The following is a 26244-nucleotide window of genomic DNA, read 5'->3' on the forward strand; positions in this document are numbered from 1 at the left end:
ATCAACAACAAGAAAAGTCTGAAAAGCTGTCACAGCTGAGGAGAAATGACAACTAAATGTTATGTGGTGTCCTGGATGGGATCCTGGAATAGAAAAAGGACAGTAGGTAAAAACTAAAGGAATCTGGCTGGGCAAGGTGGCTCATGCCTGTAATCCCAGCACTTTGGGAGGCCGAGGCAGGTGGATCACCTGAGGTCAGGGGTTCGAGACCAGCCTGACCAAGATGGAGAAACCCCATCTCTACTAAAAATACAGTATTAGCCAGGCATGGTGGCGCATGCCTGTAATCCCAGCTACTCGGGAGGCTGAGGCAGGAGAATTGTTTGAACCCAGGAGGCGGAGGTTGCGGTGAGCCGAGATCACACCACTGCACTCCAGCCCAGGCGACAGAGCAAGACTCTGCCTCAGTAATAATAATAATAATAATTTTTAAAAAATTAGCCAAGCATGGTGGTGTGTGCCTGTAATCCCAGCTACTCGGGAGGCTGAGTCAGAAGAATCCCTTGAACCCGGGAGGTGGAGGTTGCAGTGAGCCGAGACCACGCCATTGTATTCCAGCCTGGACAACAAGAGCGAAACTCCGTCTCAAAATAAATAAATAAATAAAAATAAATAAATAAATAAAAAATCAGCCGGGCATGATGGTGCATGCCTGTAGTCCCAGCTACTTGAGAAGCTGAGGTGAGAGGGTTGCTTGAGCCCAGGAGTTTGAGGCTACAATGTTAGCGCCACTGCACTCCAGCCTGGGCGACAGAGTGAGACCTCATCTAAAAAAAAAAAAAAAAAATTGGCCAGTCGCGGTGGCTCACGCCTGTAATCCCAGCACTTTGGGAGGCCGACATGGGCGGATCATGAGGTCAGGAGATCAAGATCATCCTGGCTAACACAGTGAAACCCCGTCTCTACTATAAATATATATTTTTTTAAAAAAAGTAGCCGGGCATGGTGGCACGCGCCTGTAGTCCCATCTACTCGGGAGGCTGAGGCAGAAGAATGGCGTGAACCCGGGAGGCGGAGCTTGCAGTAAGCCAAGAGCCGAGATCACGCCACTGCACTCCAGCCTGGGCAACAGAGCGAGACCCTGTCTCAAAAAAAAAAAAAAAATGCTATATATTCCAGCAATTCTACTCCTATGTTTCTACCGAAAAGAATTGAAAACAAGTATTCAAATCAAAATTTGTACACAGATGTCCATAGCAGCACTATTCACAATGGCTAAAAGGTGAAAAAACCCAAATGTCCATCAATGGATGAATGGCATATCCTATAGAACTGAATAGTATTTCACCATATTCTGATACATGCTACAACATAGATGAACCTCAAAAACGTGCTATGTAGAAAAAAGACAGACACAAAGGTCACACATTGTATGATTCCATTTGCGTTAAATATCCAGAATAGATAAATCTGTAGACAGAACTGCAGATTAGTGGTTTCTAGAGCCTTGTGGGAGGGAGGACTGGGGAATGACTGCTTGATGGGTACAGGGTTTACATATGGGGTGACGAAGCTGTTATGAAACTATATAGAGGTGATTATTATACAACTTCATGAATATACTAAATGCCACTGAATTATACACTTTCAAATGGTTAATCTTATGTTTTATGTGAATTTTACATCAATTTTTTTTTAGACAGGTCTAGTTCTGTCACTCAAGCTGGAGGGCAGTGACATGATCAGGGCTCACTGCAGCCTCAGCTTTCTGGTCTCAAGAGACCCTTCCACCTCAGCCTCCCAAGTAGCTGGGACTACAGGTGTACCCCACCATACCCAGCTAATTTTTAATTTTTTGTAGAGATGAGATGTCACTATGTTGCCCAAGCTGGTCTTGAACTCCTGGCCTCAAGCAATCCTCTCACCTTTGGACCCCAGATTGCTGGGATTATAGGTGTGAGCCACCACGCTTGGCCACACCAATTTTTTAAAAAGAGGAATGCATCAAATGCATAGAGGAAGCTGACACTACAAGTGTGTGCCACCAAGCCCAGCTAATTTTTGAATTTTTTTGTAGAGTTTCAGGGGAGGGGTTCTGCCTGTGTTGTCCAGGCTGGTGTTGAACTACTGGGCTTAAGTGATCCTCCCACCTCAGCCTCCCAAAGTGCTGGGATTACAGGTGTGAGCCACTGTACTTGGCCAGAAGTGATGTTTGAATTGAGTTGTTAATCAATTTATGAATCACTTAGCAAACATTTATTGTATGAATACTAAATGCTAGTCAGTAGGCATTGAGGTGATATAAATAGATATAGGCCGGGCATGGTGGCTCACACCTGAGGCATGAGAATCACGTGAATCTGGGGTAGAGATTGCAGTGAGCCGAGATGGCACCACTGCACTCCAGCCTGGGTGACAGAGTGAGACTGTGTCTCAAAAAAATTAAATAAAATAATACATAAATAGATAGATATAGTAGATATAGATACTTATATCTATACATATATGAATATTCTCTCTCTCTCTCTCTCTCTATATATATATATATATATATATATATGAATTTAGATCTTATCTTCCCCCTCAGACAGCTCACTATATAGTTGGGAGAGACAAACACATAAATAGGCAATTATAGTGCTTTGTGGTATATGCGATGATAGATGTATATACAAGGTATTATGGAAGTAAGGAGGAGCAGCACCCATCACAGCCTGCGGGTGTTTTAAAGAATTATTAGAAAGTGGCCAAGTGGCCAAGGTGCGGTGGCTCATGCCTGTAATCCCAGCAATTTGGGAGGCTGAGGTGGGAGGATCGCTTGAGCCAAGGAGTTCAAGACCAGCCTCGGCAACATAACAAGACCCTGTCTCTACAAATAATAACAATAATGATAATAACAAAATTAGCTTGGCATGGTGGCATGTGCCTGTAGTCCCAGCTACTCAGGAAGTTGAGGCAGGAGGATTGCTTGAGCCCAGGAGGTTGAGGCTGCAATAAGCCATGATCACACCGCTGCACTCCAGACGGGGTGACAGAGCAAGACCCTGTCTCTGAAAAAAAAAAAAAAAAGAAAAAAAAAAAAGAAAGTAGCCAAGTGAAGACGGGAAGGAAGGTCATTTTAGGCAGAACACAAATAAAGGTGTAGAGCTAAGAGATAGAAGATATATATGGAGAGACAGAGTGAGTGTGTGTGTGTGTGTGTGTGTGTGCGCGCATATGCATAGGAAGTAATTACAAGTGGTTCCATCTTATCTTGAATTTTTTTTTTTTTGAGATGGGGTCTCACTCTGTTGCCGAGCCTGGAGTGCAGTGGCATGATCTTGGCTAACTCCAACTTCCACCTCCTGGGCTCAAGCAGTCCTCCCACCTCAGCCTCCTGAGTAGCTGGGACTATGGGAGCGTGCCACCACAGCCAATTAAATTTTTTTTTTTTTTGTAGAGGTGGGGTCTCGCCATGTCACCCAGGCTGGTCTCAAACTCCTGGACTCAAGTGATCTGCCCGCCTCGGCCTCCCAAAGTGCTGGGATTACAGGCATGAGCCACTGTGCCCGGTCAAGTGGTTCCATCTTGTAAAACAAAAAATTCAAACTAGGAAGTGGCAAGTCATGGGTTTCAAACAAGTGAACAACAGGCTTATGTTTTAGGTAAATTCTTCTATTAACAGTGTGAAGTCTAAGATTAGAAGAGGAACAAGACTGGAGGCAGGGAGACTAATAAGAAGGCTGTTAAAATAATCCAAATGAAAAATTATCAGGGTCTTAGCCAGGCAGGGAAGTGGTAATTGTGATAAAAAGGAAAGGTCAGAATCAAGAAATGCTTAGATGGTAAAATTAGTAGGACTTGAGGATTGATTGGATATTGGTGGTGAGAGAGTGTTAAAGATAACTCCAGTTTCCTGTTTTGTGTGATGGAGTGTGTATTTGTCAGAGATGTTAGTTGATAGCAACAAAGCCTGACTCAGCATAAAGGGTATTATTATTATTATTTTTGAAGGATATTAGGGGCTGGGCATGGTGGCTCACACCTGTAATCTCAGCACTTTGGGAGACCAAGGCTGGAAGATCATTTCAGCCCAAGAGTTCGAGATCATTCCTGGGCAACTTAGTGAGACCCTGTCTCTAAAAAACAAAAATAATAGGCTGGGTGTGGTGGCTCATGCCTTAATCCCAGTACTTTGGGAGGCTGAGGCATGTGGACAACTTGAGGCCAGGAGTTTGAGACCAGCCTGGCCAACACAGTGAAACCCCGTCTCTACTAAAAATACAAAAATTAGCTGGGTGTGGTGGTGCATACCTGTAATCCCAGCTACTCAGGAGGCAGCTGAATGAGGCACGAGAATCTCTTGAACCTGGGAGGCAGAGGTTGCAATGAGCCAAGATTGCACCACTGCACTCTAGCCTGGGTGACAGAGTGAGACTCTGTCTCAAAATAATAATAATAATAATGATAATTTTAAAAATTAGCTGAGTGTGGTGGCACACACCTGTAGTCTCAGCTACTCAGGAGGCTGAGGCAGGAGGATCACTTCAGCCCAGAAATTTGAGGCTACAGTGAACCATGATCATGCCATTGTACTCCAGCCTGGTTGACAGAGCAAGATCCTGTCTCTTAAAAAGAAATAAAGGATATTGGGGAGCTCCCACAATTGTTGGGAGAGCTGGAGAATCAGGTTAGAGGCTAAGCTTTCAGGAACAATGCCTCAAACCATTGCAGAAGTGGCGGGATGATATAGATGCCCCCACTGCTGTGAGAAGTCAACCTTGAAAACACTGGAAATTCCCTAGTAGAAAAAAAAAAAGGAAGAGAAGCTCCACACTCCACATATCCACATAGAGCAGGTTTCCTCACAAGGTCACAAGGGAGACTGGCAAATATCTCTGACTTACACTGCAGAGCTGGGGCTCATAACATGGACATTCTTCCATATATAGAAAAGCTTTTCAAATTCTGAGGGCAGCCACAGTGTGATGCAGATGGTGCCGCTATCAAGCAATGTAGAGAATAGAAGAGTTTGGGGGCAGGAGTGAGAAGTTCCATTTTTAACATGTGGTATTTCAGGTGTCTGTAGAACATTCAGATATAGATGTCTAGCAGGTGGTGGGATATTTAAAGTCCTTAGCATTCAGGTAGCAGTTAAAACAACAAAAATGGGTAGGATGGTCCAGGGAGAGCATGTAGATTGAGATGAGAAGAAGAAAGAAAACAGAATCCTGGGTGTGGGAAAGAAAGCTTGCCTGGATTCTTGGTGCCCCTATAAAAGGCCCTACTTGGCGGGCACGATGGCTCACTCCTGTAATCCCAGCACTTTGGGAGGCTGAGGCTGGTGGATCACCTGAGGTCAGGAGTTGAAGACCAGCCTGACCAACATGGAGAAACCCCGTCTCTACTAAAAATGCAAAATTAGCCGGGCGTGGTGGCGCATGCCTGTAATCCCAGCTACTTGGGAGGCTGAGGCGGGAGAATTGCTTGAACCTGGGAGGCAGAGGTTGCAGTGAGCCAAGATCGCGCCATTGCACTCTAGCCTGGGCAACAAGAGTGAAACTCTGTCTCAAAAATAAAAAAAATAAAAAAAAAAGCCCTAGCCACTTGGGCTACAGGAATATACACAATATAGAGAATGTTTGTTTTTGCTTCCCCTAGACACATTTCACTTTTCACATACCATGAGGATGATATCTGTAGTAGCCATTTGTCTAGCTAATTGCCCTGCTCTAAAAAGAAAAAACTTTTCTCCCCAAGAGATCCAAATGCTTATAGCCAGGGCTAGGTCCCTAGGGGCCAGGACCACTGGATCACTATGTTCCTAGGTATTTGTGCTTCTAAAGGGATGAAACCCAGACCTTGGAGACATCACTAGGCTGTAAAAGCTGGAGACACAAATCTGGCCCTTGGAAAGATGTGTTTACATTATAAAAGGTTAAGGTAAGAACCAGGATCATTTCAATCCCATCTTCAAGGAGTGAAAGGTTTTTTGGAAGGGAGCAAGACAGCTGTCTCTCTTCTATGTATAAATGGAGAAAATCCACTGTTATTCATTCCTTTATGGGGTGAAACTTGTAATTCACCCAGAAAGTTTCCAACAGTTCTCATCGTATCACCTGTAGGTCTAGGTGTAGGGAACCTACATGACAATGTGACTTTGGCTGTTGCTCTGTTCGTGAGTATTAATAAAGAACTTTTGGCTGGGCGCAGTGGCTCATGCCTGTGATCCCGGCACTTTGGGAGGTTGAGGCGGGTGGATTGCTTGAGCTCAGGAGTTCAAGACCAGCCTGGGCAACATGGTGAGATGCTGTCTCTACTAAAATTCAAAAAATTAGCCAGGCATGGTGGCACACGCCTGTAGTCTCAGCTACTCAGGAGGCTGAGGTGGGAGAAACACTTGATCCTGGGAGGCAGAGGTTGCAGTGAGCTGAGATGTGCCACCACACTCCATCCTGGGTGACAGAATGAGACCTTGTCTCAAAAAAAAAAAAAAAGGGGGCTGGGCACTGTGGCTTACACCTGTAATCCCAGCACTTTGGGAGGCTGAGGCAGGCGGATCACAAGGTCAGGAGATCGAGACCATCCTGGCTAACATGGTGAAACCCTGTCTCTACTAAAAAATACAAAAAATTAGCCGAACGTGGTGGCTGGCGCCTGTAGTCTGAGCTACTCAGGAGGCCGAGGCAAGAGAATGGCGTGCACCTGGGAGGCGGAGCTTGCAGTGAGCTGAGATCATGCCACTGCACTCCAGCCTGAGCGACAGTGCGAGACTCTGTCTCAAAAACAAAAAACAAAACAAAACAAAAAACTCTTCTGATCCAGATGCCTCACATTTCTTTAGTATTCACACATACAAAGTACTTCGTTGTGTGAGTATCTCAGACCCTTCACAGTTCTTGACAAAACACTGGGGGACATTAACATCTAAGTGATGGAAAGAGGAAGAGGAGATCAAAAAGGAGACCAAATAGGAATGGTCAGAAGTACATATGGAATAGGCCAGGCGCGGTGGCTCATGCCTGTAATCCCACCAGCATTTTGGGAGGCCGAGGCAGGTGGATCACTTGAGGTCAGGAGTCCGAGACCAATCTGGCCAACATGGTGAAACCCCGTCTGTACTAAAAATACAAAAATTTGCCGGGCATGGTGGCTCATGACTGTAGTCCCAGCTACTTAGGAGGCTGAGGCAGGAGAATTGCTTGAACCTGGGAGGTGGAGGTTGCAGTGAGCCGAGATTGTGCCACTGCACTCCAGCCTGGACAACAGAGCATGACTCAGTCTCAAAAAAAAAAGTACATAGTACATACAGAATAACTAGGAAACTGAATTAATTCAAGGTGATGGAAGTCAATGAATAAGAGCTTTCAACGAGGAAGGAATGATCAGCAGTGTCAAATGCTTAGAGAGGTCCAGCAACATTAAGAGTGAAAAGTAGCTATTGACTTTGGCAGTTTGGAGGTCACTTTGCTAAAAGCAATTTCAGTGGAACCATTTTCCAGTACAGTAGGTAGGGGTATGAATGGATTTCAGGAAGTAGAGACTGCAAATCAGACTATTGCTATTTGGAGAAGCTTAAAGCTGAGAAGGAAAGGAATTGGCACCTGATTAAGATTCAGGATTAAGGGAGAGTTTTGTAATTTTTTTCTTGATGAGTGAGGCCCTAACGTGTTTAAGGCTGAGGAGCAGACACCACAGGTTGAAATCAGAGAATGGATAATTCATGGAGCAGTCTGCTGAAAGAGATGGAAAAAGATGGCATTTGGGACACAGGGGGATGGGTGGACCTTGAACAGGAAGATGGAATGGAGATAGGGATGGATGTAAATGCAGTGTTGCTTGTAGTCGTTCCACTGAGGCTGAAGACCCTGTATTTCTAGTGGCACTGATTTGTATTGTTTTGTAGGGTAGAAACATCCAGATGAAGAAGGGGAGAAGAGTGGTTAGCTGTACCCACCCAACGTTAGAGGTCTGTGGGGCTGGTGTGGTAGACAGGGATGAAAGGGAATTGAGGGTGCTGGTGACAGAGTAGTTCAGAGAGTCAAGCATGGGGTTAAGAAAGGTTGAGGCCAGGCATGGTGGCTCATGCCTATAATTCCAGCACTTTGGGAGGCCAAAGCAGGAGGATGACTTGAAGCCAGGAGTTCGAGACCAGCCTGGGCAACATAGTGAGACCCCATCTATAAAAACTTCTTTTTTTTAAATTAGCCAGGTGAGGTGGTGCATGCCTGTGAGAGGTGAAGCCAGCTGGACTTCCTGGGTTGAGTGGGGACTTGGAGAACTCTTCTATCTAGCTAAAGGATTGTAAATGCACCAATCAGCACTCTGTAAAAATGCACCAATCAGCGCTCTGTGTCTAGCTAAAGGATTGTAAATGCACCAACCAGCACTCTGTAAAATGGACCAATCAGCAGGATGTGGGTGGGGACAAATAAGGGAATAAAAGCTGGCCACACCCAGCCAGCAGCAGCAACCCGCTCAGGTCCCCTTCCATACTGTAGAAGCTTTGATCTTTTGCTCTTCACAATACATCTTGCTGCTGCTCACTCTTTAGGTCCGCACCACCTTTAAGAGCTGTAACACTCACCGTGAAGGTCCACGGCTTCATTCTTGAAGTCAGCGAGACCAAGAACCCACCAGAAGGAACGAATTCCGGACATACCTGTAGTTCTAGCTACCCGGGAAGCTGAAGTGGGAGGATTGCTTGAGCCCAGGAGTTCAAGGCTGCAGTGAGCTAGGATTGTGCCTTTGCACTCTAGCCTGGGTGGTAGAGTGAGATCCCTGTCTCAGAAAAGCAAACAAACAAACAAACAAACAAAACAAAAACCATTGAGAGGGGAAGGAAAAGAGGCCAGGAGGGACTGACAGACTGGGAGAAAAAAGAGGGCTTAAAGGACTAGAGGAGTCCATAAGAGGTTAAAAAACTAAACCAAAAAAAAAAAAAAAAAAAAACCCTCACATGTAGGCGGGGGCCTGAGGGAGCAGAAAGGAGAGGGCGCTGTGGTTCATATGAAACACTGGGGTTATAGATGTTAGAGGTGAGCAGTTCCAGACCACAATAAACTTCAAGATCTGGTGCTTTGTGTGTGGCTGAAGTGCAACAGAGAAGGTAATTGAGAGAGTCAAGGAAATGAGAAGTTGCTGATTGTGTCATCTTCATAGACAATGAGATCCCCTCGTAAAAGAGTCAGGAATTAAGAGTCGGGAGGGAGATGATGGGCCACATGCCAGTATCTTTACTTAAAAAGAGGAGAGTGAAGGATATGTAAGAATTTGCTAGGCAGACTGGGATGGAGGGGATGGCCATTCTAGCTAGAGGGAGGAGACTGGGAAAAGGCATGGTTGGAAGTGTGAAACAGCCTGATCTTTTTAGGGAACTAAAACCAGTATCAGTGACGCTAAGTGTGAGTACAGGAATGTGGCAGCAGATGAGACTGGATTAGTAGGCAGAGCTGACATATGGAGGGCCTTGTGCACTAAACCAAATGATGCAGAGCCACTGAGGGGTTTTAAGCTGAGTATTGACTTAATTCTGGTTTGTATTTTAGATTTTCTAAGGTCAAGTGTGGAAAATTAGATTCAGGTAGGAATAGAGCCCCAGAGACCAGTTACAGGGCTGTTGCAATTGCCCAAGCCAGGATGAGGGGCGTGGCACTGGCAGTGGAGTTGGAGGATGAATTCCAGAGCTATTTTGATATCCCACATGTGTTCTTGCAGCTCTACACCCTTTCACCTATTTTCAGCATGCAATGTGAGGCCTGGTAGGTTTTTCCGTTCAGTTTATGCTCTTTAATGTCCCAGCTCTTCACCCCAGAGGCAGCCTTCAGACCTTTGAGGATGGGGTCCTTATCACTAATATCTCTGCTATGCCCACTCCATAGGGCAGGGGATGAAATTATCCAAAGCTTTTTGGTCTCAGCTAATTTACTTTTCTTTACTTGCTTTTGTTTCTCTCTACCAAATCCTTCAGTTAATCTGAGGCAAGAATTTCATACCTTGAACATTATGGAATCAGGTTATTTCTTTTTCAGTGCTCTGTTGCCTAGAGGTTCGTATGTGACAAATTGAAAGGGCTAATACTATATATGAAAGTTACACTCAGTATATGAAACCGACAGACCCTCTCCCCCATCCCCCACTTAGCACTCTCCCCACTTTTTCAGGGTTACTCATTGCTGTTTGTAGTAGGCAAAATTCTAAGATGATCCCCAATATTCCCTCATCCCGGTGTATACATACTTTCTCCCTGTTACTTAGTCAAACATGAATCTAGAAACTGCTGTGAAGGGATTGTGCAGATGTAATTAAGTCAGCTGATTTTAAGAAATAAAGATTATCTTGGGTAAGCCTGACCTAATCAAGTGAACTCTTAAAAAGGACTGGGCTCTTCAGTCACAAAAAGACAAATACTGTATAATTCCACCTATAGGATGTATCTAAAGTAGTGAAATCCATAGAAACGGAAAGTAGAAGGGTTGTCAACAGGGGTTGGGGGAGGGAGGGAGTTTTTTTAAAATTTATTTTTATTAATTATTATTATTATTTTTGAGACAGAGTCTCACTCCGTCATCCAGGCGGAAGTGCAACGGTGCAATCTCAGCTCACTGCAGCCTCGAATTCTGAGGCTCAGGTGATCCTCCCACCTTAGCCTCCCGAGTAGCTGGAACTATAGGTTCGGGCCACAATGCTCAGCTGATTTTTTGCTTTTTTTTTTTTTTTTGTAGAGTTGGGATTTCTTCATGTTGCCCAGACTGGTCTCAAACTCCTGGGCTCAAGCAATCTGCCAGCCTCGGCCTCCGAAAGTCCTGGGATTAGAGGCATTAGCCACCGTGCCCAGCCTGAGCTGTTTTTGAATGGATAGAGATTCAGTTTTGTAAGATGAAAAAGTTCTGGAGATCCATTGCACAACAATGTGAATCTACTTAACACTACTGAACTGCACACTTAAAAAGGGTTAAGATGGGCCACGTGCAGCGGCTCACGCCTGTAATGCCAATACTTTGGGAGATTGAGGTAGGAGGATCACTTGAGCCCAAGAGTTCAAGGCTACAGTGAGCTGTCATCACGCCACTGCATTCTAGCCTGGGGGACAGAGTGAGACCCCGTCTTAAAAAAAAAAAAAAAAAAAAGTTACGGTGGTAAATTTTATGTTGTGGGATTTTTTGTTGCTGTTGTTGTTGTTGTTGTTTTGAGATGCAGTCTCTCTCTGTCGCCCAGGCTGGAGTGCAGTGGCGCGATCTTGGCTCACTGCAACCTCCACCTCCTGGGCTCAAGTGATTCTCTTGCCTCAGCCTCCCCAGTAGCTGAGACTACAGGCTCCTGCCACCACTCCCAGCTCATTTTTTCTTAATTTCTTTTTTTTTAATTTTTATTTTTAGCAGAGACGTGGTTTCACTATGTTGACCAGGCTGGTCTCAAACTACTGGGCTCAAGCAATCTGCCCGCCTCGGCCTCCCAAAGTGCTGGGATTTACAGGCTGTTGGGTGTTTTTTAACCACAATTTTAAAAGGGCGGGAGGGAACTGGGCTATTTCTTGTGAGATTCAAAGCGTGACAGGAATTTGACACAAGGGAGATTCTCCATTGCTGACTTCGAAGAGGGAGGAGGCCACATCACCAGAATGTGGGGAGTAGAAGGTGGTTACCAGAGGCTGGGAAGGGTAGTGGAGGGGGGAGGAAAGGTGGGATGGTTAATGGATAGAAAAATATAGTTGGATAGAATGAATAAGTTCTAGTATTTTATAGTACAATAGGGCGACTATAGTCAATAATTTATTGTACATTTAAAAATAGCTAAAAGAATATAATCGGATTGTTTGTAACACAAAGGATAAATGCTTGAGGTGACAAATACCCCATTCACCCTGATGTGATTATTATGCATTGTATGCCTGTATCAAAATATTTCATGTACCCCATAATATATACACCTACTATGGTACCCACAAAAATTAAAATTAAAAATTAAAAAACAAAACAAGACAAGGAATATGTGTGGCTTCTAACAGTTGAGAGCACCCACCACCCCAACTGCCAGCAAGAATATGGGAACTTCAGTCCTACAGCCACAAGGAACTAAATTCTGCCACAACTACATGAGTCTGGAAGAAGACCTTTAGCCTCATATGAGTTTGAAGCCTGGCCAACACCTTGACCCTGAGCAGAGGACCCAGTTAACCTGTGCCTGGATTCTTGATCCATGGAAAGTGTAAGAAAATAAATGTGTGTGTATGTGTAGGGGGGTTTATTGTTTTTTAAATGAATTTTTATTTAGAGATAAAGTATTGCTACATTGCCCAGGCTGGAGTGCAGTGGCTGTTCACAGGTGTAATCATATCGCATTACAGCTCCAAACTCCTGGGCTCAAGCAATCCTCCTTCCTGACGCTCCCAAGTACCTGGTACCACAAGTGCACACTACTGTACCCTTAAATAAAAATTAAAAAATTAAGACTGGGCACAGTAGTCCCAGCACCTTGGGAGGCTGAGGCAGGCAGATTGCTTGAGCCCAGAGTTCCAGACCAACCTGGGCAACATGGTGAAACTCCCATCTCCACTTAAAAAATGTATATATATAGACTATATCTAGAAACAGATACATAAATTCTTATACAATTAATTCCCAGAAGTGTATAAGAAATCACTTTGTTTGTTTTTGAGACGGAGTCTTGCTCTATTGCCCAGGCTGGAGTGCGGTGGCATGAACTTGGCTCACTGCAGCCTCTGCCTTCTGGGCTCAAGCCTCTCCCGCCTCAGCCTCCCAAGTAGCTGGGATTACAGGCGAGTGCCACCATGCCCAGCTAATTTTTTTTGTATTTTAGTAGAGACGGGGTTTCACCATGTTGCCCAGGGTGGTTTCCAACTCCTGAGGCTCAGGCAATCTGCCCACCTCAGCCTCCCAAAGTGTTGGGATTACAGGCGTGAGCCACCATGCCAGGCCAAGAAATCACTTTGTTTACAAACCAAAACATGTTGAAATCAATGGAATTGGGATAATTCTGTGGGATTCTAAATACAAATGGTACACACCTGATTTGAAACAGAGAAAAGGTGTTAATTACAGAAGTCTGATTGCAAGTGTTAATTTCATAACACTTCAACATGACTATAAAATTTCTTTAATCCAATGTATACTTATTACAAAATTCTTTTCTTTTCTTTCTTTTTTTTTTTTTTTTTTTTTGAGACGGAGTCTGGCTCTGTCACCTGGGCTGGAGTGCAGTGGCGCAATCTCGGCTCATTGCAACCTTCGCCTCCCGGGTTCAAACAATTCTCCTGCCTCAGCCTCCCGAGTAGGTGGAACTACAGGCGCGTGCCACCATGCCCGGATAATTTTTTGTATTTTTAGTAGAGATGGGATTTCACCATGTTGGTCAGGCTGGTCTCGAACTCCTGACCTCGTGATCTGCCCGCCTCAGCCTCCCAAAATGCTGGGATTACAGATGTGAGCCACTGAGCCACTGAACCCAGCTACTTATTATAAAATTCTATAAGAATTTTTCATTACCCTGGCCGGGCGCGGTGGCTCATGCCTGTAATCCCAGCACTTTGGGAGGCCGAGGCAGACGGATCACGAGGTCAGGAGATCGAGACCATCCTGGCTAGCACGGTGAAATCCCGTCTCTACTAAAAATACAAAAAATCAGCCAGGCGTGGTGGCGGGTGCCTGTGGTCCCAGCTGCTCGGGAGGCTGAGGAAGGAGAATGGCGTGAATCCGGGAGGCGGAGGTTACAGTGAGCCGGTGATCAAGCCACTGCACTCTAGCCTGGGCGACAGAGCGAGACTCCGTCTCAAAAAAAAAAAAAAAGTAATAATAATTTTTCATTACTCCTAAATGTAGAGTTTGGAACACTCTCTTCAGAAACAGTGACTACATATTTTGCCATGTTATAATTGATTAATAAAAAGGATGTTTATCCTGGCTAACATGGTGAAACCCCGTCTCTACTAAAAATACAAAAAATCAGCCAGGCGTGGTGGCGGGCGCCTGTAGTCCCAGCTACTCGGGAGGCTGAGGCAGGAGAATGGCATGAACCCGGGAGGCAGAGCTTGCAGTGAGCCGAGATCGCGCCACTGCACTCCAGCCTGGGAGACAGAGCGAGACTCCATCTCAAAAAAATAAAAATAAAAAAAATAAAAACAAATAAAAAGGATGTTTATAAAAAGGTTAAAGAGTATTATAAAAAACTAAATTTGTGATTGCTAGTGTACCAATACTTTATTTTAGAAATTTATTTATGGAACTGGCAATTGTTCCTTGTTTTATTTATTGTTTGTTTGTTTGTTTGTTTTTGAGCCAGAGTCTAGCTCTGTCACCCAGGCCGGAGTGCAGTGGCTCGATCTAGGCTCACTACAGCCTCTACCTCCTGCGCTCAAGCGATTTTCCTGCCTCAGCCTCCAGAGTAGCTGGGATTACAGGTGCCCACCACCATGCCTGGCTAATTTTTTTGTTGTTGTATTTTTAGTGGAGATGGGGTTTCGCCATGTTGGTCAGGCTGGTCTTGCACTCCTGACCTTAAGTGATCCGCCCACCTCGGCCTCCCAAAGTGTTGGGATTACAGGTGTGAGCCACCGCCCCTGGCCTGAAGGCATTTTATTTTATTTATTTATTTATTTATTTATTTATTTATTGAGATGGAGTCTCGCTCTGTTGCCCAGGCTGGAGTGCAGTGGTGTGATCTCGGCTCACTGCAAGCTCTGCTTCCTGGGTTCACGCCATTATCCTGCCTCAGCCTCCCGAGTAGCTGGAACTACAGGTGCCCGCCACCATGCCCGGCTAATTTTTTGTAACTGAAGGCATTTTAAAGAAAATATTGAGATGTAGCATTAACAGAGAGATTGCTCATAACCCATTTAAGATTTTAGTAACTGGCCGGGCACGGTGGCTCACGCCTGTAATACCAGCACTTTGGGAGGCCGAGGCAGGCTGATCACTAGGTCAGGAGTTCAAGACCAGCCTGGCCAACATGGTGAAACCCCCGTCTCTACTAAAAATACAAAAATTACCTGGGTGTGGGGGTGGGCACCTGTAATCCCAGCTACTCGGGAGGCTGGGGAGGCAGGAGAATTGCCTGAACCTGAGAGGCAGAGGCTGCAGTGAGCTGAGATTGTGCCACTGCACTCCAGCCTGGGCGACAGAGTGAGACTCAGTCTCAAAACAAAAAAAAAAAAAGATTTTAGTAACTTTTATCCTGTTTTAATAATACTGACTCAGAAACTATAATGTGTACTTTATAATTTACTTCCTAGATGACACTTGATTTTCTTCAAGAGCAAGATAGCTGCCCTGTGCAGTTGGTCTCCTTGAAAACTATTTTAGTTCTATCATAATTTCCTGTGATAAATATTTTGACCTTCTAAAATTTCAGAATATTGCACCAAGTAGAAAGAAAATAGGTTTTTTCTCTTTTCTTCTTCTTCCTTTTTTTTTTCTGAGAAAGAGGGAATGAGAACTTTAGTGTTCTTTCAATAGCGTTCTTATTTGTAGAAATGCATAATAGTGTCCTAGTAAGGCTTGACAATAACTCTGGTCTTCATCATATTTTGTGATAAAACTTTTGATTTAAAAAAACCTCTGATCTATTTATCATGGCAAATGGATAGAGCTTTCCTGCCTGTTTTCTTTCTTTTCTTTTTTCTTTCTTTCCTTTTTTTTCCTTTGAGCTTAGATTTTTAGAAGCACATATTTAAAAATCAGGTATAAGACTGGATGCAGTGGCTCACGCCTGTAATCCCAGCACTTTGGGAGGCCGAGGCAGGCTGATCACTAGGTCAGGAGTTCAAGACCAGCCTGGCCAACATGGTGAAACCCCCGTCTCTACTAAAAATACAAAAATTACCTGGGTGTGGGGGTGGGCACCTGTAATCCCAGCTACTCGGGAGGCTGGGGAGGCAGGAGAATTGCCTGAACCTGAGAGGCAGAGGCTGCAGTGAGCTGAGATTGTGCCACTGCACTCCAGCCTGGGCGACAGAGTGAGACTCAGTCTCAAAACAAAAAAAAAAAAAGATTTTAGTAACTTTTATCCTGTTTTAATAATACTGACTCAGAAACTATAATGTGTACTTTATAATTTACTTCCTAGATGACACTTGATTTTCTTCAAGAGCAAGATAGCTGCCCTGTGCAGTTGGTCTCCTTGAAAACTATTTTAGTTCTATCATAATTTCCTGTGATAAATATTTTGACCTTCTAAAATTTCAGAATATTGCACCAAGTAGAAAGAAAATAGGTTTTTTCTCTTTTCTTCTTCTTCCTTTTTTTTTTCTGAGAAAGAGGGAATGAGAACTTTAGTGTTCTTTCAATAGCGTTCTTATTTGTAGAAATGCATAATAGTGTCCTAGTAAGGCTTGACAATAACTCTGGTCTTCATCATATTTTGTGATAAAACTTTTGATTTAAAAAAACCTCTGATCTATTTATCATGGCAAATGGATAGAGCTTTCCTGCCTGTTTTCTTTCTTTTCTTTTTTCTTTCTTTCCTTTTTTTTCCTTTGAGCTTAGATTTTTAGAAGCACATATTTAAAAATCAGGTATAAGACTGGATGCAGTGGCTCACGCCTGTAATCCCAGCACTTTGGGAGGCCGAGGCAGGCTGATCACTAGGTCAGGAGTTCAAGACCAGCCTGGCCAACATGGTGAAACCCCCGTCTCTACTAAAAATACAAAAATTACCTGGGTGTGGGGGTGGGCACCTGTAATCCCAGCTACTCGGGAGGCTGGGGAGGCAGGAGAATTGCCTGAACCTGAGAGGCAGAGGCTGCAGTGAGCTGAGATTGTGCCACTGCACTCCAGCCTGGGCGACAGAGTGAGACTCAGTCTCAAAACAAAAAAAAAAAAAGATTTTAGTAACTTTTATCCTGTTTTAATAATACTGACTCAGAAACTATAATGTGTACTTTATAATTTACTTCCTAGATGACACTTGATTTTCTTCAAGAGCAAGATAGCTGCCCTGTGCAGTTGGTCTCCTTGAAAACTATTTTAGTTCTATCATAATTTCCTGTGATAAATATTTTGACCTTCTAAAATTTCAGAATATTGCACCAAGTAGAAAGAAAATAGGTTTTTTCTCTTTTCTTCTTCTTCCTTTTTTTTTTCTGAGAAAGAGGGAATGAGAACTTTAGTGTTCTTTCAATAGCGTTCTTATTTGTAGAAATGCATAATAGTGTCCTAGTAAGGCTTGACAATAACTCTGGTCTTCATCATATTTTGTGATAAAACTTTTGATTTAAAAAAACCTCTGATCTATTTATCATGGCAAATGGATAGAGCTTTCCTGCCTGTTTTCTTTCTTTTCTTTTTTCTTTCTTTCCTTTTTTTTCCTTTGAGCTTAGATTTTTAGAAGCACATATTTAAAAATCAGGTATAAGACTGGATGCAGTGGCTCACGCCTGTAATCCCAGCACTTTGGGAGGCCGAGGCAAGGAGATCACCTGAGCTCAGGAGTTCAAGACCAGCCTGGGCAACATAGCGAAACACTGTCTCTACAAAAAATACAAAAATTAGCTGCGCATGGTGATGTGCGCCTGTAGTCCCCACCACTCAGGAGGCTGAGGCAGGAGAATCGCTTGAGCCCGGGAGGCAGAGGTTCCAGTGAGCCGAGATCGTACCACTGCGCTCCAGCCTGGAGACAGAGCAAGACTCCCTCTCAAAAAAAAAAAAAAAAAAAAAAAAAAAATCCGTTATAGGTTGTGTCCATATGTCATCTCAGCTACCATCCAAAACTATGATCAAAATGTATTTAGACCAAACTACAGAATGAAGTTTTATTTCTCCTTTTCCTTTCCATTTTTAACCAGACTGTTTTAGTATCATATAAAGTTAATCTTTCACATAATGTTGTGCTACCTATGTCAAATGACTATCTTGCCATACAAAAGCAGAAAATATTGCAATACTCCTTTCTTTCTGTTTGTAAATTCAGTTAATTTCTTGGCAAACACTTTTATTTTCATCAATATGCTATCAGAATTTAACAATTTCAAATTGTATTATGACAGGGTATATTTCTTTAAATATATTATGGCTATACAAAGCACATCAAATATTTACTTTATGACAGAGAACAGTATTTACATTTGTTCTCCAAAACAACATAAAATACAACTTTAAAAACATTTAGATGAAAATTTGAGTAATGTTGACACTAAACAGCCAGATCTTAAACACATAGTATCATAAGGAAAACTCAGGGGACAAGTTATGTTCACATGATACAATGGGATTCAGGACAATTCAAAGATCTCTGTGCACCATGATTTCACAAATAGTACAAGTAAGTGCTTCTCGAAACATGAAGAAGCCATTTCAACATTTACTATTAACATACAGTGGCTCTCTGACAATACCTGCCATCCTAATATAGATGCACAGGAACTTTTAACTCACCCTAGATACATTTTAAATTGTTTACATATAAACAGTTTTGCCAAAAAAGTAGTTTAAATGTCTGCATCAATTTGAGAACAAGTTCACAACTGTAATAGTTCTTTTTTTTTTTTTTTTTTTTTTTAGAGATTCTTGCTCTGTCACCCAGGCCGGAGTGCAGTGGCACAAACACGGCTCAGTGTAGCCTCGACCTCCCAGGCTCAAGTGATCCTCCCACCTCAGCCTCCCGAGTAGCTGGGACTACCAGAGCATGCCACCACACCCAGCTGATTTTTGTATTTTTAATTTTTTTTTGTAGAGACAGGGTTTTGCCATGTTGCCCAGGCTGGTCTTGAACTCTTGAGCTCAGGCAATCTGCCCATCTTGGCCTCCCAAAGTGCTGGGATGACAGATGTGAGCCACCTCACCCAGTCTGTAATAGTTCTTATAGTGTTATAGTGAACACATATTACAACACACTCCATATTGTGTCATATTAGGTGAAAATATATCAGAAAATGAATCTTCATTAACAAGGTACAACCAATGTTTATGCAAAATTAAGTACCTTTTCCCCTTTAAGTCAAAATAGCATAATACCATGATATTATGGCTTTGTGTCTTTTCTGATAATATCTCAGTCTGATCTCAAAAAACAGAGAAAAAGCTGGGTGTGGTGGTGCACACATGTAGTCCCAGCTACTTGGGAGGCTGAGGTGGGAGGGTGGCAGAGCAAGATCCTGTTTCTAAAAAAAAAAAAAATGGCTGGGTGTGGTGGCTCACGCCTGTAATCCCAGCACTTTGGGAGGCCAAGGAGGGCGGATCACGAGGTCAGGAATTCAAGACCAGCCTGGCCAACATGGTGAAACCCCATCTCTACTAAAAATACAAAAATCAGCCAGGTGCAGTGGCGGTTGCCTGTAATCCCAACTACTCCGGAGGCTGAGGCAGGTGAATCACTTGAACCCGGGAGGCAGAGTTTGCAGTGAGCTGAGATCGCACCACTGCACTCTAGCCTAGGTGACAGAGTGAGACTCTGTCTCAAAAAAAAAAAAAAAGGAAAATTAATAAGTGGGGATACAGATATGTTTGAATGACAAAGCCATTAAGTTTGACTTAAGACCTTTACCTCTGTGTTTATTTATTTATTTATTTATTTTTGAGACAGAGTTTCACTCTTGTGGCCCAGGCTGGAGTGCAGTGGTGTGATCTTGGCTCACTGCAACCTCCACCTCCCAGGTTCAAGCAATTCTCCTGCCTCAGCCTCCAGAGTAGCTGGGATTACAGGCACCCGCCACCACACCCGGCTAATTTTTATATTTTTAGTAAAGAGGGGGTTTCACCATGTTGGCCAGGCTGATCTGGAAACCCTGACCTCAGGTGACCCGCCTGCCTCGGCCTCCCAAAGTGCTGGGATTACAGGCGTGAGCCACCACCCCTGGCCCTGCCTCTGTGTTTAAATGAGGGTAGAGATAGGAAAACTGTAAAAGACAAAGGAAGAAACACCTTGAATTACATGTTTTTTGTGAGATGAAAACATTTTCCTTTAAAGCTGTGTAACTGGAAACATCTTCTAAACAAGGCAATACAAAAACACTACATTACAGCATTGTGCAATGAATACACATGCTGCATTTCACAATAACTGAAAACTATTGGGGATAACCACCTCCAATTACTACTGATTCAGAGAATAAAAAGATTAATGGTTCCAAATTACTTGAGACTTAGGTAAAATAAAAATAAACAAACAAAAAACTATTTTTTTTTTTTGAGACAGGGTCTTGCTTGGTCGCCCAGGCTGGAATGCAGTCGTGTGATCTTGGCTCACTGCAACCTCCACCTCCCTGGGCTCAGGTGATTCTCCCATTTCAGCCTCCTGAGTAGCTGGGCCCACAGGCAAGCACCACCACACCCAGCTAATTTTTTTGTATTTTTTTTTTTTTTTGTAGAGATGGGGTTTCACCATGTTGTCCAGGCTGATGTCAAACTCCTAGGCTCAAGCGATCCTCCCACTTTGGCCTCCCAAAGTGCTAGGATTACAGGTGTGAGCCACTGTGCTTCCCCACAAAATAACTATTTTTTAAATGGCAGTATATATGGTATGCAACAAGACTCCCATAAATCTGGCAGAGTCTTTTTTTGTGCAAAGTAGGGAGGGCAGGGGTCAAATGTAGCATATTTAATAGTGACTACATTAAAGAAAAATATAAATCCATCTTCAATGCTTTTTCTTTTTTAAACAATGTTTTCTTTTTATTCAAATCAATTCAAACTTTATAAAAATTTTAATGTTGCAAGATAATACAATCACTTACAAAAACCAATTGTACAATCAAGTTCTAACCAAGATAATGTTTACTAATCTAACAAGATCAAGATAAAACATTTACCAAAGGAAAATATAGATAACACAAAAAATACTATCATAGAAATCTAAGATCATCTAATACTTTAAAAAATAATAGTTCTAGTTGTCTTTATATGTTATGACAATTTATAGCAGAGTTTAATAACAGAAAAAGCAACAATGTCTATATTGGTGGGATAAATTTAAGATTTTTATGTGCAAGGCCACTTAAAAAGAGGACAAACCACAGATGAAAATGAAGGCAACAGAAAAATTCAACTTTTCACAACCAAAAAATTAGTGCAACCTTAAAATAATTTGGAAAACGATGTTCTAAAAGATATGTTGCAGATCTGTGTTCTATTGTCTAAGATTATATCAATGCATAATTCTAAATCTTTCTAAAGTGTAAGATTAAAAATATGTAATCTAATGTACAAGGTATATGTAAATTCTGTGTTTTATCACATACGTATGTCTCTTCAACACTAGCTTTTGAAAATGGGCCATTTGAAGAGACAACAATTTTTAGGCCAGTAATTACAGGCATCCATCATGCCTGTAATCTCCAGCATTTTGAGAGGCCAAGGCAGGAGGATCACGTAAGGCCAGGAGTTCAAGACCAGCCTGGGCAACATAGTGAAACCCAGTCTCTTAAAAAAAAAAAAAAAAAAATTAGCTGGGTGTGGTGGCTCGTGGTGGGAGGATCACTTGAGTCCAGGATCCTCCCACTGCGATCCTCCTACCACACACCACCATGCCCTGTGATCATGCTACTGCACTCCAGCCTGGGTGACAGGGTGAGACCCTGTCTCAAAAATAAAGACAACAATTTTCATTTGAAAAATTTCATTCAGGCAGGGTGAGGTGGCTCACACCTGTAATCCCAGCACTTTGGGAGGCTGAGGCAGGCAGATCACCTGAGGTTAGGACTTTGAGACCAGCTTGGCCAACATAGCGAAACCCCGTCTCTACTAAAAATACAAAAATTAGCTGGGTGTGGTGGCACGTGCCTGTAATCCCAGCTACTCGGGAGTCTGAGGCAGGAGAATTGCTTGAACCTGAGAGGCGGAGGTTGCAGCAAGGTGAGATCGTGCCACTGCACTCCAACCTGGGCAACAGGAGCCAAACTCCGTCTCAAAAAAAAAAAAAAAAAAGAAAAGAAAAATTTCATTCAACTTTACTTTACTTGGGATTGAATACATATGAAATGTGCTTTCAATACATAAAAATCATAGTGGACAGCAGCAAAGGAGTGGGAGTAGCAGTGGAGGAGGAGTTGCGGCAGATTAAGGAGAATCTGAGAATTCCTATTGTAATTATTTTGGAAATTGATAAAGATAATTCACACTTCTAAGAACTCAAGACTTTACTTTTTAAAGGACCAAAATAAACTCAAGACACCTTGCCAACACTTCCCCACCTCTCAACAAATTGATTACTCTTTTACACATAAAACTGAAACAGTTATGGCATCAAAATTGATAGCAACGAAAGTTTGTAAAACTGTATTTCAGTCTCTTTTTCTTGATTCCAAAGTGCAAGATGCAGGGTTTTCATAATCCTTTAGCAATGCTTCTCCTGTAAATAAGCCTTCATTTTGTTTGGCAAAGGCAGTTTTTGAAATAAGTCTATTCTGGTATGCTGACATAAAACAAATGTCATGGGTGCTGCAAAGAACAAAACTGTATGAATTGTAGTATTGGATTGGTCAGTCTTACAGGGTAAATTGCAGATCCAGGTAACCGAGACCTTCAATAAGAAAAAACTCTATTTTCCAGAGTCCCTGGTTGAATGTTCAATTAGATCAACTAATTGTCCTTTCACATCTGGTTGCTCATAAAAGCAAAACCTACCATTCGAGTGTTCAATTCTAGTGTGAAGTGTTTTACCATGGGAGCAAAAGCTTGAGCTTGAAAGATAACAGTCATTATGGCTATCTGGGACAAGAAAAAAACCATCTAGCACATTTGCTCACTTTTCTTCTGCCTGTCAGTGTATGATTGCCCCCAGCACCATTATTATTTTGCAGGTTTTTTCAGCTCCTCTGTAAGGCTTGTCACAACCATAGTGTCACTACTTTGGACAGAATCATCAACTCTTGCAACCCCAGGAGGACAGTCAGGATTAGAATTCAAATGACAGTGGGTACTTTCAGACACACACATAGACAACTGCACCTGTGAGTCCACAGAAGTTCCTTTAGATTCTGTATTGGAGGTAGTAATGATGAAAGTGTCTTCAGGAATGTCTTCATGGCTTGCTCTTGGGCTCTGCATTGTAACTCCTTACAGGTACCAATGAACAAGCCATTCAGAGATGGATCCACAAAGATCTCTGGAGCAACGACCAGGTCCTGCTCTACCCGATTCTCAGCTTTGGGGATAGAATTCCCAGAAACATCTGTGTCCGGAGTTGGTTCCTTCCAGTGGGTTCTTGGTCTTGCTGACTTCAAGAATGAAGCCGTGGACCTTCGCGGTGAGTGTTACAGCTCTTTAAAGGTAGCACAGACCCAAAGAGTGAGCGGCAGCAAGATTTATTGTGAAGAGCAAAAGAACAAAGCTTCCATAGCGTGAAAGGGTACCCAAGCAGGTTGCCAGTGGGGCTGGGGGCGGCCAGCATTTATTCCTTTATTTGTCCCCGCCCACATCCTGCTGATTGGTCCATTTTACAGAGTGCTGATTGGTCCATTTTACAGAGTGCTCTTTGGTGTTTTTACAATTCTTTAGCTAGACACAGAGCGCTAATTGGTGCATTTTACAGAGTGCTGATTGGTGCATTTACAATCCTTTAGCTAGAAACAGAGCGCTGATTGGTGCGTTTTGTTTTTGTTTTTTTTTTTGAGACAGAGTCTCGCTCTGTCGCCCAGGCTGGAGTGCAGTGGTGCAATCTCAGCTCACTGCAACCTCCGCCTCCTGGGTTCATGCCATTCTCATGCCTCAGCCTCCCAAGTAGCTGGGACTACAGGTGCCCGCCACCACGCCTGACTAATTTTTTGTATTTTTAGTAGAGACGGGGTTTCACCATGTTAGCCAGGATGGTCTCCATCTCCTGACCTCATGATCTGCCTGCTTCAGCCTCCCAAAGTGCTGGGATTACAGGTGTGAGCCACTGCACCTGGCTGGTGCATTTTTACAGAGTGCTGATTGGTGCATTTACAATCCTTTAGCTAAACACAGAGTGCTGATTGGTGCGTTTTACAATCTTCTTGTAAGACACAAAAGTTCTCCAAGTCCCCACCCAACCCAGAAGTCCAGCTGGCTTCACCACTCACTTCCATGGGAGAACTGTCCAGACAATAGCATGACACCCTTGCAAAGGATAAAGCCTCTCATCTAAAGGCATAGAATACTGAATATAGTCTTGAGGCATAAGTCCAATAAGTACAGGCACATGTTCCTTGAAGTGAAGATGCAAGTCTCCATTCTGAAATTTTGAACTCTTTACTTTGTTCTTTGTATGCAGCTTCAGGCTGAAGATAGTGAAAATCCGTGCCAGACTTGGATTGGAAGAATGAACCAAGGCTTTGAGTCTCTTCGTCTCATCTCCGTTTTGATACGTGTCTCCTTAGTTTGTAAGCCAAGGAGAGGACTACAGTGAGGATTGTGGAGGGAAGTGGACCTTATTGGTCTTTGAGCTCTCACATCTTTAAAGACTGTTGGTGCTGAGAGAAAAAGTATCCTCATCTGGCAGAACTCCCATAGGGTGTGCTCCCCTTGCTGTTCTGCTTTTGTTTTGCAGAAAGCTGCCTTTTTCAATGTACTCATTAGGCTTTCATTGTTTTTTCCTTTTTTACCTTTTTCATCTTTCACTGTTGATATCACAGGTGGCCATATCTTTACCAGTGCAGCTACCAAATAAGAAATCATCTTTTCCACATTCACTAGTTAGTGATGGTTGTTGTACTACCATGAAATCAGTTTCTTCTTTACTTTTATTCAGGTTACAAGATTTCTGGAAGGTTTTAAGATCAATTTTAATTAGTCTTTGTGACTGGTTACTTCATCCAGGGGACCAATTTCTCTCTGGAATATTAGTCCCGCACCCCTGGAGAGCCTGTGCGGCTGCATCTCCCTCCGGAGGTGGTTCTGGAGTTGGTTCCTTTTGGTGGGTTCCTGGTCTCGCTGACTTCAAGAATGAAGCCACGGACCTTCACGGTGAGTGTTACAGCTCTTAAAGGTGGCACGGACTCAAAGAGTGAGCAGCAGCAAGATTCATTGTGAAGACGGAAAGAACACAGCTTCCACGGTGTGGAAAGAGACCCGAGTGGGTTGCTACTACTGGCCTGGTGGGTGGGTGGGTGGGTGGGTGCGGAATGTGGCCAGCTTTTATTCCCTTATTTGTCCCCACCCATGTCCTGCTGATTGGTCCATTTTACAGAGTGCTGATTGGTCCATTTTACAAGGTGCTAATTGGTCCATTTTACAGAGCGCTGATTGGTCCATTTTACAGACTGCTGATTGGTCCATTTTACAAACCTCTAGCTAGCCACAGAGCACTGATTGGTGTGTTTTTACAGAGCACTGATTGGCGCATTTTACAAACCTCTAGCTAGCCACAGAGCGCTGATTGGTGCGTTTTACAATCCTAGCTACAGAGTGCTGATTGGTGCATTTTACAATCCTCTTGTAAGACAGAAAAGTTCTTTAAGTCCCCACCCAACCCAGGAAGTCCAGCTGGCTTCTCCTCTCACATCTATGTATTTCTTTGGCTTCATTTAACCTTTGGAGCCATTTTTTTTCAGCAGCAGTGCAACAGCAGCCACCAGCCCGGGTCTCATCCAGCGCTGGTGCTACTGCTGTGAAATGTGTGTTGTTCTGAGCAGCTGTATTTGTGATACTTTGTTACACAGCAGCAAAAAAAGTAATGCAACATCAGTGGTGTTACTGGGTGACAAAGTTTGGGATTGGGGTTGAAGACCCAGCTGATTTAATTATAATTGGTTCTAAATTTAAAATTGCACATAAAAAAAACCCAGAAATCAATGTGAACAACAATAAAAAACATACAAAAGCACTTCCTTCAATGTCTAGATCAAGGCTTCTTTCTCACCCCCTCCAACCTTACCTGTTTCCTCCCTAGATATTCATAGAGAGTAATATATTTTATCATCTAAATAGTCTTCTGTATTGCTCTCTAGTAGCTTTTTGTGTCTACCTAACTAGGCTTCAGATTCCTTGAGGGCGAGGATTTCTGTTCATTTTTGTGCCCCCCACAGTGCCTTGCACATAGAGACTCTAGTAAATGTTACTTATTGGCTGAAGAATTAGGAACATGACCTGCATTTAACAACAAAAAGAGTTTTTGTTAATTAGCTAGCACCCGCTCATCAGCAAGGCCTAAACATCTGCCAGTGGAATCTGAGAAGTCTCTTCTAAAAGTTGAAAAGCTGAGTTTACTCATTACAGATAGGGAACTTGTAGTAGGTGTGTGTGTGCGGGGGGGAGGTTTTACCAGTTAAATCAAATTACAAGAGGTTGGTGCTCAATTTTCAGGAGAGTTTGTGTAGTGATTTTTGTCTTTTTCACTGCATGATGTGACTCTTGATTATGGGATGGAAGAAATTAGCATTATGAATTTTCTCTGTGCCATTTCCATAATTAATTGTTT

General features: G+C 43.1%; 1 protein-coding gene and 1 pseudogene across 10 annotated transcripts in view; one reads left to right on the forward strand and one right to left on the reverse strand.

Annotated features, from left to right (window-relative positions):
- TAF1 (TATA-box binding protein associated factor 1) overlaps positions 1-24912 on the forward strand; it is a 164169-nt gene extending 139257 nt beyond the window's left edge. For all 10 annotated transcript variants that reach the window (NR_104395.2, NR_104391.2, NR_104392.2 and 7 more), the window contains 2 exons: positions 22929-23112; positions 24100-24912. The gene's annotated coding sequence lies outside the window, so the exon portion shown is untranslated. The remainder of the gene's footprint in view (positions 1-22928; positions 23113-24099) is intronic.
- Positions 22008-23022, reverse strand: SOCS6P1 (SOCS6 pseudogene 1; annotated as a pseudogene).

This window comes from Homo sapiens, chromosome X (genome assembly GCF_000001405.40).
Source record: "Homo sapiens chromosome X, GRCh38.p14 Primary Assembly".
In the NCBI taxonomy this organism is placed as follows: domain Eukaryota; kingdom Metazoa; phylum Chordata; class Mammalia; order Primates; family Hominidae; genus Homo; species Homo sapiens.